Source organism: Homo sapiens, chromosome 9, assembly GCF_000001405.40.
Source record: "Homo sapiens chromosome 9, GRCh38.p14 Primary Assembly".
NCBI classification, from domain to species: Eukaryota; Metazoa; Chordata; class Mammalia; order Primates; family Hominidae; genus Homo; species Homo sapiens.
The window spans coordinates 96,844,886-96,857,112 of NC_000009.12; the positions used below are offsets into that span (position 1 = coordinate 96,844,886).

Here is a 12,227-nt window from a genome sequence, read left to right on the forward strand (position 1 = left end):
TCACCCACTGAGACGAGGTGGCTGTAGTTCTCCAGCATCACATCTCTGTACAGGGTCCTCTCAACAGGGCCCATGTGCTGCCACTCCTCCTGGCTGAATTCCACAGTCACGTCCTGGAATGACACTGATGCCTGTAACAGCGCATTTCTAATTAATCTGAGTGTTCAGAATCAAGGAAAGGAAAACGTTTTCGGAAACTAACTCATTATGTTTACTGTTGAGAATTTAAAACAAAATGCTATAAGGGATTCTTATTAAGGCCCTAATTCTGCCTTACTTTTGAAATGCATAATTAGCACACATATTTGTTCTCATGCTCTTATTTGTATTTATTTTACAATCATACACATACATTGTTACTTAATATACTGAGGAAGCTTAGTACCCTTTTAGGTAAAATTATTATAAATAGGATTCCTGCATACGTTTCCCATGGTGCGATCTCGGCTCACTGCAACCTCCGCATTCCTGGGTTCAAGCAATTCCCCTGCCTCAGCCTCCCAAGTAGCTGGAATTACAGGTGCATGCCACCACACCTAGTTTTTTGTATTTTAGTAGAGATGGGGTTTCACCATGTTGGCCAGGATGGTCTCGATCTCCTTACCTCATGATCCGCCCACCTTGGCCTCCCAAAGTGCTGGGATTACAGGCGTGGGCCATAGTGCCCAGCTGGGAAGTGAATCTTTACAAGAATGAAAATCTGTTCATTATTATCTCGTGCAGCTGTACACAGAGATGCAGCATGATACATAACACAAAAAGCTCAGAAAAAAGAATAAAAAGAAACGAACAAAGTCTCCAAGAAATATGAAATTATGTAAAATGGCCAAACCTAAGAATAATTGATGTTTCTGAGGGAGAAAAGAAAACAAAAAGTCTAGAAAACTTATTTGAGGAAATAACTGAGGAAAACTTCACTGACCTGGCTAGATATTTACATATCCCAATCCAAGAAGGTCAAAGAACTCTTGGAAAATCCACTGCAAAAAGATCTTCACCAAAGCATATAGTCATCAGGCTGTCTAAAGCCAACATGAAGGACAAAATTCTAAGAGCACTAAGATAAAAGCATCAGGTAACCTATAAAGGAAAACTTAACAGACTAACAGCAGACTTCTCAGCAGAAACCTCACAAGAAAGAAGGGATTGGGGGTCCTATCTCCAACCTCTTTAAACAGAGTACCTGTCAGCTAAGGATTCTGCATCCAGCAAAACTAAGTTTCATCAATGAAATAAAGTTATTTCAGACAAATGCATGCTGAGGGACTTTGTCGTTACCAAACCAGCACTATGAGAAATGCTAAAAAGAGTTCTAAACCTTGAAACAAAAGTTTGATATGCACCAAAACAGAACCTCTTGAAAGCTTAAAACTCACAGGACCTATAAACCAATAATTCAATGAAAAAAGCAAACTAGGTAGCAATGTGATGAAGAGAACAGTATCTCACATCTCAATATTAACATTGAATGTAAATGGCCTAAATGCTCCACTTAAAAGATACAGAATGGCAAAACAGATTTTAAAAAAATCACAAACCAAATATCTGCTGTCTTCAACAGACTCACCAAACATAGAAGGATTCATATAAACTCAAGGTAAAGGGAAGGAAAAAAATATTCCATGCAAATGGAAACCAAAAGCAAGCAGGAGTAGCTATTCTTATATCAGACAAAACGGACTTCAAAGAAAATCAGTAAAAAAAAGACAAAGAAGGTCACCATATGATGATAAAAGGATCAATCCAACAAGAAGATATTACAATCCCAAATTTATATGCACTTAACACTGGAGGTCCCAGTTTCACAAAACAATTACTACTAACCTAAGAAATGAGATAGACAGCAATACAATAATAGTGGGAAACTTCAATAGACCACTGACAGTACTAGACAGATCAAGACAGAAAGCCAACAAAGAAACAATCGACTTAAACAACACACTAGAACAAACGAACTTAACAGATATTTACAAAATGCTCTCCAAGAACTGCAGAATATACATTCTTCTCATCAGCACACGGGACATTCTCAAAGACAGATCATATGATAGGCCACAAAACAAGTCTCAATACATTTTTAAAAATCGAAATCATATCAAGTATCTACTCAGATCACAGCAGAATAAAACTAGGGATGAACTCTAAAAGGAACCTTTAAAACTATAAAAATACATGGAAATGAAATAATCTGCTCCTGAATGATTTCTGGGTTAACAATAAAATCAAGATAGAAATTTACAAATTCAATGAATGATAATTACACAAATTATCAAAACCTCTGGGATATAGCAAAGCAGTGCTAAGAGAAAAGTTTATAGTGTTAAATGCCTATATCAAAAAGCCTGAAAGAGCACAAATTGACAACCTATTGCCATACCTCAAGGCACCAGAGAAACAGGAACTAAACCCAAAGCTAGCAGGACAAAAGAAATAAAGATCAAAGTAGAACTAAATGAAATTCAAACAAAAAAACCCCAAAATATCAATGAAACAAAAAAGCTGGTTCCTGAAAAGCTAAAACTGATAGACCTTCAGCTAGATTGACCAAGAAAAGAAAGAAGATCCAAATAAGTTCAATTAGAAATGAAACTGGAAACATTACAACCGACACCACAGAAATACAAAAGATCTTTCAAGACTACTATGAACGCCTTCATGTGCACAAACTAGAAAACCTGGAGGAAATGGATAAATTCTTGCAAACATACAACACTCCTAGATTAAATCAGGAAGAAACTGAAACCCTGAATAGACTACAAGTAGAGAGATTAAATCAGTAATTTAAAAATTTGAAAATTGCCAACAACAACAAAAAGCCTGGGACCAGATGGATTCACAGCTGAATTCTACCAGATATTTAAAGAAGAACTGGTCCCAATCCTGCAGAAACTATTCCACAAGATTGCAAAAGAGGGAATCCTCCCTAAATCATTCTATGAAGCCAGTATCACCCTGATAGCAAAACCAGGAAAGGACACAACAAAAAAGGAAACAACAGACCAATATCCCTGATGAACATAGATGCAAAAATCCTCAACAAAACACTAGCTAACTGAATACAATAGCACATTAAAAATCACATCATGATTAGGTAGGTTTCACCTCAGGGATGCAGGGATGGTTTAACATATGCAAGTAAATAAATGTGATACATCATGTAAACATAACTAAAAACAAAAATCATATAATCATCTCAGTAGATGCAGAAAAAACATTTGACAAAATCTAGTGTACCTTTATAAAAGCTCTCAACAAACTACGCATAGAGGGGACTTACCTCAAAATAATAAAAGCCATATGTGACAAGCCCACAGCCAACACCATATTGAATGGGGAAAGTTGAAAGCACTCCCCCTGAGAACAGAAACAAGACAAGGATGCCCGCTTTCACCACTCCTGTTCAACATAGTTCTGGAAGTCCTAGCCAGAGCAATTAGTCAAGAGAAAGAAATAAAGGGCATCCAAATTGGAAAAGAAAAAGTCAAACTACTGCTGTTTGTAGATGATATGATCATATACCTAGAAAATCCAAGACTCCTCCAAAAGACTCCTAGATTTGATAAATGAATTCAGTAAAGTCTCAGGGTACAAAATCAATGTAAACAAATCAGCAGCAATGCTATACCAACAACAACCAAGCTAAGAATCAAATCAAGAACTCAATTTCTTTTACAACAGCTGCAAAAACAAAATAACACCACCACCACCAAAAAAACAACCTAATAATATACTTAACCAAGGAGGTGAAAGATCTCTACAAGAACTACATAACACTGCTGAAAGAAATCACAGGTGACACAGACAAATGGAACACATCCCATGCTCATGGATTGGAAGAATCAATATTGTGAAAATGACCATTCTGCCCAAAGCAATCTACAGGTTCAATGCAATTCTCATCAAAATACCAACATCTTTTACATAATTAGAAAAAACAATCCTAAAATTCATACGGAATAAAAAAGAGCCCGAATAGTCAAAGCAATCCTGAGCAAAAAGAACAAATCTGGAGGCACCACAATACCAGACTTCAAATTATACTACAAGGCTATAATTCCCAAAACAGTATGGTACTGGTATAAAGGCAGGCACACAGACCAATGGAACAGAATAGAGAACCCAGAAATATAAAGCCAAATATGTACAGTCAACAACTGATCTTCGACAAAGCATACAAAAACACAAACGGGGGAATGGACATCCTATTTCAGCAATCCCCAACCTTTTTGGCACCAGGAACTGGTTTCCTGGAAGACAATTTTTCCATGGACCAGCGGTGGTGGGGTGGGGATGGTTTCAAGATTAAACTGATCCACTTCAGATCATCAGGCATTAGTTAGATTCTCATAAGAAGCACCCAATCTAGATCCCTTGCATGTGCAGTTCACAATAGGGTTCCCTCTCCTATGAGAATCTGATGCTGCTGATCTGACAGGAGGTAGAGCTCAGGTGGTAATGCTTACTAGCCTGCTGCTTACCTCCTGCTGTGCCCTTCCATTCCTAACAGACCACGTGGCCCTGTGGATTGGGGACTCCTGTCCTATTTAATAAATGGTGCTGGTAAAAGTGGCAAGCCACATGCAGAATAATGAAACTGGATCCTATCTCTCACTTTATACAAATATCAACTCAAGATGGATCAAAGACTTAAATCTGTGACCTGAAACCATAGAAATTCTAGAAGACAACATTTGGAAAACTCTTCTAGACATCAGCCTAGGCCACGAACTCGTGACTAATACCCCAAAAGCAAACGCTACAAAAACAAAAATAAATTAACTGGACCTAACTAAATTAAAAAGCTTCTACACAGCAAAAGAAATAATTACCAGAGTAAACAGCCAACCCACAGAATGGGAGAAAATATTTACAAACTAGACATCTGACAAAGTATCCAGAATTTACAAGGAACTCAAATAAACCAGCAAGAAAAAAAATCCCATAAAAAAGTGGACAAAGGACATGAATTGTCATTTCTCAAAAGAAGATATACAAATGTCCAATAAACACATGAAAAAAAAATGCTCAACATCGCTAATCATCAGGGAAATGCAAATTGAAACCACCATGAGATACCACTTTACTCCTGCAAGAATGGCCCTTTTTAAAAAGTCAAAACACAATGGATATTTGCATGGATGTGAAGAAAAGGGAATGCTTATACGCTGCTGGTAGGAATGTAAATTAGGACAACCTCTATGGAAAAAGTATGGAGATTCCTTAAAGAACTAAAAGTAGATCTACCATTCGATCTAGCAATCCCACTACTGGGTATCTACCCAAAGGAAAAGAAGTCATCATAAATGAAAAAGAAACCAGCACACGTTTGTAGCAGCACGATTCACAATTGCAAAGATGTGGAACCAACCTAAGTGCCCATGAACTGAGTGGATAAAGAAAATGTGGTACCTATACACCATGGAATACTACTCAGCCATAAAAAGGAATGAAATAATGTCTTTTGCAGCAACTTGGATGGAGCTGGAGGCTGTTATTCTAAGTATCACAGGAGTAGAAAACCAAACCGTACGTTCTCACTTATAAGTGGGAGCTAAGTTATGAGTATGCAAAGGCATACAGAGTGACATAATGGACTTTAGAGACCAAGAAGGGGAGGGTGGGAGGCTAGGGAAAGGTGCTAGGGATAAAAAACTACCTATAAGGCACAATGTACACTACTTGTCAGACCACGGGTGAACTAAAATCTCAGAATTCACCACTATATAATTCATCCATGTAACAAGAAACCACTTGTACCCCAAAAGCTATTGAAATAAAACATTTTAAAGAAATGTTTTAAAGTATAAAGAAAAGACAGCATTTATTATGATTATTTTAGTCTTGCTCTTTCATTTTAGTTAAGGCCTGTCTTGACTTCTTTTAGACCCTGGGTAGTAAAATACATAAAATAAAATGTAAAAGTAAAATGTTCAGAATCTTAGTTGAAAATTTCAAATACGTTTTGTATTAAAATTGAAAAATCTTTCCAGTTTTAGTAAACATACAATATTATGAAAACTTTTGCATCTTAATAAATATATCTAAGTAAAGTGCTAAGTAAGTAGGCAAGTTGCATCTTCAGTGTTAAAGTATATTAGCACAAGGATGGTAAAGCGGTGTGAAAATTATAAATTTTTATAATTTGTGTATGCAAGGTGGTTTTTAAAATAAAATATCTTAGTATCTCATTTTATTTTTCTCTTGGTTTATACCTTGTCTCTCTGTACATCTATAACTTAATGCATACTGACAAAGAAAAATCTTGTTTGATAATGGTTAACCAACAATAAACATTTACTAAATCTAAAAAAAAATAAAAAAAGTAAATGATTACAATTTTCTATGAAAATGTAATGACAAAAATTATATTGAAAAAGTACAACTCCAGTATAAGCTTATAAGAAGCTGACTAATGAACTAATACATTTATTCAATAATCAAAATCTTCACACAAAAAGTCTTCGCAAGGTCCAAATTCATAGGTGAGTTTCATAAAATCTACATATAACACAATGTTCTCATTTTTCTAAATTATTAGAAAAGAAGAAACAAGAAAAAGTGCCCCATTTCCTTTCATGAGACAACCATGATACCCTAACTGAACAGGGAAACAGGAAAGTATAGTTTAATCCAATTTGTGAACACAGAAATAAAAATCCTAAATTATTACCATAAAGTGCTAGGAAAACATGTAAGAAGCAACTTACTACACTCATTAGCAACTAGGGTCTATACAGGAATTCAAGTTACTTTTAGAAAATCCATTATATTATTCACAATATTTACAGATTCAAGGACACAGCTATAGATTTATTCTGATACATAAAAAGTATTTAATATAATTCATGTGCATTCATGACTAACATGACATCTTGGCAAACTGGTAACTGGAGGGAACCTACTAACCCTGACAAAGCTGACAGCAGAGTTCATGGTGAAACTGTATATATTTTCCCTCAAGATTTACTTATCTATTTCTCCTTTTCCATTTAATGCAAGGGCCTATCTAAACCTCATAAAATCCATTACAATACAAAGTGGGGAATGAATAAAAAGCTTACCTGAAATGTGTTCATTTTCTGTGGCTCTTGGGAGAGTATAGAGAACTGTAAAGCCTCAGCTGGGGGGACAGAAAGAGGATGTCACACGGTCTCGCCTACCTCACAGCTCCTAGATTAGCCTCCCCAAATCTCAGCAACCCAGTTGGAGAGCAGCCTTCCTAAGGTAACAGGGCCCTTCAGGCCTTGAAAAGGCATGAGAAGCACCACGTAGAGGTGGCACTGTCTACGACAACTCTGAAATAATTATGGGGCTTAAACTGCTGTTTTTTATTGAGTGAACATAAACTTTTCCCAATTGATTTAACAATGCACATGTGCTTCTAACACACACACAAAAATAAAGACAATACAGGATTAGTTGAATTAAAGTACACCACAGGGTAAGACACTATTCTTTCATTAAAATTAACCTAGCAGGTACTGTGGTTCAAGCCTGTAACCCCAGCACTTCGGGAGGCCAAAGAGGGAGGACAGCTTGAGCTCAGGAGTTCAAGACCAACCTGGGCAACATGGCATGACCTTGTCTCTACAGAAAATAAAAACTTAAAAAATTAGCCAGGTGTGGTGGCATGCGCCTGTGGTCCCTGCTACTTGGGAGGCTGAGGCAGGAGGATCACTTGAGCCCAGGAGGTAGAGGCTGCAGTGAGCCATGTTTGTGCCACTGCACTCCTGCCTGGACAACAGGATGAGACTCTGTCTCCAAAACACAAAATTAACTTAGCAGAAAAATATTCAGTGTGCATCATTTAACTATTTTTCTTAGTAATATTATTTACCCTTGGTATAGACAATCCACAGAAAGTCTTATAAAAGAGATGAGATACTTTAAGGCAAAGAGTTTTAGATGTTTTAACTGGGATGTATTTCTCAAAAGGCCCTTTGGATAAGATGCTTTTGGTGACTCACCTGTGAAAGAATGAACGGAACTGTTTTCCTCCTGGCTCTACCACAAACGAGGGATCCCCGGAAACTCACTGAACCTTTCATGCCCAATGTCTTTAAAGCTTTCAAAAGAATCAGAAGTAGATAGCCACGGAAAACCCTTCATGTATCATCATGCATGGGATTCTATGAGGTAGGGACAAAGTCTCCAGTGTCACATATGTTAACAGCAGTATGGCATCTGTAAAGAGTGGAGAACAAAGCGACTGGGGGCTACTTTGGGATCTGGGGACAGAATCTCCGGTTACCCCTACCCTCAGACCTATGCAATGATGTGGCCTTTCCTGAGCAGCCTGTCCCTGGCCACCACCTAGCCCATTTTGCTCTTCTCAAAGCTGGCCCAAACCACCCACTGTCACCCATTGTGTGGTGGCTTCTGGAGGCTTCACCAAGTCTGGCTCATTCTGGGAAGGAGGATCAAGAACTGCTTCTGACCATACACATCTAGGATCTGCTCCTCTGTGGGCTCTTCTGCCTCTGCTCTGAAGCTCGGGAGGGAGGCCTAGGTCTGAGAGGTGTTCTCTTCCAGGTAAAACTGTTCACAGAGACCCCTGCTTCCCACCTCGCAAGGGCTGCTCTGTTCAAGGAGCCTGCGACCTGACCTGAGAAACCATGTTAGTGGCAAAAATCTGACTCTTAGAATTCTTTACATCAGACTTAAAAGAGAGACACCCTGACAATGCAGAAGGGGCCAGGAACCTGTCTGACCCAAGAGATCTGAAGACACACCAGAAATCCAGACTACATTTGACACATGGTAAGATTCCATCTACATCCACTCCCTGAGTATTTGGGGACATGACATTCTGCTAAGTGCTGTGAAGGCTGCAATGCTGGTTTTAGGCAGGTGTGATATTAGCGCCTGAAACGGGAAATAAATCACACCTGCCTTTGAACCCCAGCTCCCTCACTGCTAGCTTGTGACCTGAGCCTCAGTTATATTTAATGCAGATGTGGTTGTGAGGTATACATAGGCACCCAACGAATGGAACAAAGTGTCTTCTAAATATAACAGCAGCAGTCCGCTCATGGCTTAGTAGCCTACAGTCGGCTGTTTGCTTTACAGGTGGTGACTTAAAGTTTTAAACCAACGCCATGAAGCAGTCATTATTAATACCCTCACTTTCAGATGAGAAACCTGACTCTCATCCACGTCCCTACATTCGCCTCGGCTTCCAGTTGACAGAGATGGAACTTACCCGGGTTTTTCCAGCTCCAGAGCTCGGGGTCTCGATGCAGACCCACCGTCCGGGGATTTCGGGCACGTTGTCGCCCGCGTTACAAATGCGCTTTCCCCACCCCCGCCGCCGCTCGCGCCGGGCTCCGGTCCCGCACACCGCGGCCCGCACCCGGCACCTGCTCCGGACCAACGCTCAGCCTCAGCCGCCCCGGGAGCCAGCGGCCGAAGTCCCTCTCCAGCGGCCGGGAAGGCCGAGGGCCCGCCCGGTCGCATCCACTGACACAGGGGGCGGGGATCCCACAAACTTCCCGCTTCCTCTCCCGCTTCCGGGCACAAACGCTGTCCTCCCGCCCCAGCTGCGCCCCCTCTACTTTCCGAGCCGACCCCCGAGCTTCCCAAACCGCTTCCCGGGAGTCTCGAGAACCCAAATGAGGAGGCGGGGCTCTGGCTGCACAGGCGCAGAAGGAGCCCAGGAGCCCCATCCCAGAGTGCTGCGCGGCGAACCAGACTCATTCAGGACTACATTTCCCATAAGCTCTTGCGTCCGCCTTCGACGTGACTCCTCACGTTTCGGCGATTCAGAATTGGCGGGGATGGAGTTTTTATGAAGTCTCCCGCTCAGGCTCTCCAAGAACAGGGAGAAGTTAAAGGTTAAAACTTAAACGCTACTGACAAATACAAAGAGTAGCCCTCCATTGGTTCCCGGTTGAACCAACATTTTTTTTTTCCGTAAGACTTTCGGAGACAATTGGGAAGCTGAATATGGATTGGGAATTGCAAATATTGAAAAAAAGTACCATTACTTTTGTGAACTGTGAAAAAAAATTAAGAATTTTGTAGAAATTTTTTTTTTAAAAAAAGGGATCACTACTGAAGTATTTAGCATTGAAATGATATAACTTTGAATTTACTTTACAATTTTATACATTTTCAACCTGGAACCTCCACCTTGTCTCTTTACAGCCTACCCGACCCATTGACCTGTGAGCCCTGTCCTGGCGCCCCCAGGCGTGAGGGTTCTAAGGCGGGTCGAGCCCGGTGCTGCAGGTGTTAGAGAAAAGCTTTTGGTTTTTATCCCTTAACATTGCTTCTTGCCGAATTCTCTTATTGATTCAACATATTTAAATTTAATGTTAATTATCTTAGGTTTCCATGCGCATTAACGAATTTTCTTGCTTTTTGCTGATTGTTTTTTATTTCCGTAGGTTATTGGGGAACAGATGGTGTTTGGTTACATGAGTAAGTTCTTTAGTGGCGATTTGTGAGATTTTGGTGCACCCATCACCTGAGCAGTATACACTGCACCCCATTTGTAGTCTTTTATCCCTTGCCCCGCTGCCCTCCGCCATTCCCCGCCAAGTCCCCAAAGCCCATTGTGTTATTCTTATGCCTTTGCATTCTCATAGCTTAGCTCCCACTTATGAGTGAGAACTACGATGTTTGGTTTTTCCACTCCTGAGTTACTTCACTTAGAATAATAGTCTCCAATCTCATTCAGGTCGCTGCAAATGCCATTAATTCATTCCTTTTTATGGCTAAGTAGTATATCATCAGATACATACCACAGTTTCTTTATCCAGTTGTTGATTGATGGGTATTTGGGTTGGTTCCACGTTTTTGCAATCGCAAATTGTGCTGCTATAACCATGCATGTGCAAGTATCTTTTTCATATAATGACTTCTTTTCCTCTGGGTAGATACCCAGTAGTGGGATTGCTGGATCCAATGGTAGTTCTACTTTTAGTTCTTTAAAGAATCTCCACACTGTTTTCCATTGTGGTTGTACTAGTTTACATTCCCACCGGCAGTGTAGAAGTTTTCCCTGTTCACTGCAGCCATGCCAGCATCAACTATTTTTTGATTTTTTGATTATGGCCATTCTTGCAGGAGTAAGGTGGTTTTGATTTGGATTTCTCTTATCATTAGTGATGTTGAGCATTTTTTCATATGTTTGTTGGCCATTTGTATATCTTTTTTGAGAATTGTCTATTCATGTCCTTAGCCCACTTTTTGATGGGATTGTTTGTTTTTTTTCTTTGATGAGATTGATTTGTTTGAGTTCGTAGTAGATTCTGGATATTAGTCCTTTGTCAGATATATAGATTGTGAAGATTTTCTCCCACTCTCTGGGCAAAGTGAACAGCTGAGTAAAGATTAAAGGTGAGCTGCGAGGTGTTGTTACCTCAGAGGGTGCTCTGCAGAAGAGTATATCCATGAGCTACTTGAACTCTTTAAATCAAAACAAAAGGAAAAAAGTTTATTCTAAGCAAGTTTATTTCTTGTCTGATGGTTATTAGATGGGAGAACATTGCCAGATCTAAGCTACCAACCTCAAAAATGTTTTCAAAAACAAATGGTTATTGAACATCACATTTTACAGAGATTCTGCTCCCTTTCTCCCGCCCTCCCCAGAGAGAGCAGTCCTGCATGCGAATGATCAAAGGTCAGTCTTAGGACAACAATGAGAAAACAAGCTATTTAGATAAACTCCTCTACATTCCCTTGTTATTTGCTTTTTACTATTAACTCAAGGTAAGAGGATCAGGCTGCCTTCAGCCATAACCCTTTCCTAAAGCTTTTGCAAAACCTTCTGGCCTTCCAAGAAGGTTTGCCCAGTTCTTTGTAGGACAGATGATTGATAGATGTAAAGTAATTCATGAGTAACCCTGCTTAGCAGGGTTAGAGGAATCCCAGGGATACATAGACTGGCAGCTGTTTCCACCTTAAAACCAACAGAATTGTCTAAGTTGCAGATGATGTAAGACAGAACAATTTTTATGATGTGATCATGAAGATGTGAAAAATAGGGGCTGTAAGAAGGACCATTCTTTATACACGTGCATTCCTTATCAAGCCAACAACTGACTATGGGGAATGTTTTACAACCTCAGAGACCTGCGCCTGCCATGCTGCTCTGCACAGCAGCCACTGGGGGGCTCTCTTGACCGCAGTTTTTTAAGCTAGTGCCCTATATAGAAGGGTAAGTTTTTGTGAAAAGATTAACATTTGCTCACTATCACATGGGTTTTACATATTCAAGCTTG

The 12,227-nt window shown here is 39.8% G+C and overlaps 1 protein-coding gene across 18 annotated transcripts in view, besides 2 other annotated features; it reads right to left on the reverse strand.

Moving 5' to 3' along the window:
• The window catches only part of ZNF782 (zinc finger protein 782), a 117,643-nt gene that overhangs the window by 28,722 nt on the left and 76,694 nt on the right, over positions 1 to 12,227 (reverse strand). For 2 of the 18 annotated variants that reach the window (XR_007061254.1, XM_011518318.4), the window contains exons 1-4: positions 9,203 to 9,629; positions 7,968 to 8,129; positions 7,062 to 7,120; positions 5 to 131 (exon numbers count right to left, since the gene is read on the reverse strand). The exons of 1 other annotated variant lie outside the window; for it this stretch is intronic. Coding sequence is in view for 10 of the 17 variants with exons in the window: in XM_011518318.4 (XP_011516620.1) it covers positions 5 to 131; positions 7,062 to 7,076 (142 nt within the window). In the remaining 7 variants the exon portion in view is untranslated. Of the gene's footprint in view, positions 1 to 4; positions 132 to 7,061; positions 9,630 to 12,227 lie in introns of those variants that run through there. 15 more of the 18 variants (XR_007061253.1, NM_001001662.3, XR_007061256.1 and 12 more) reach the window with 11 other exon arrangements.
• Positions 8,962 to 9,051: a silencer, noted in NCBI's record as "silent region_20092". NCBI's record gives its function as "represses an Ori minimal core promoter by ATAC-STARR-seq in GM12878 lymphoblastoid cells {active_cell/tissue: GM12878}" and the evidence as "EXISTENCE:reporter gene assay evidence [ECO:0000049][PMID:35858748]".
• Positions 9,332 to 9,401: a silencer, noted in NCBI's record as "silent region_20093". NCBI's record gives its function as "represses an Ori minimal core promoter by ATAC-STARR-seq in GM12878 lymphoblastoid cells {active_cell/tissue: GM12878}" and the evidence as "EXISTENCE:reporter gene assay evidence [ECO:0000049][PMID:35858748]".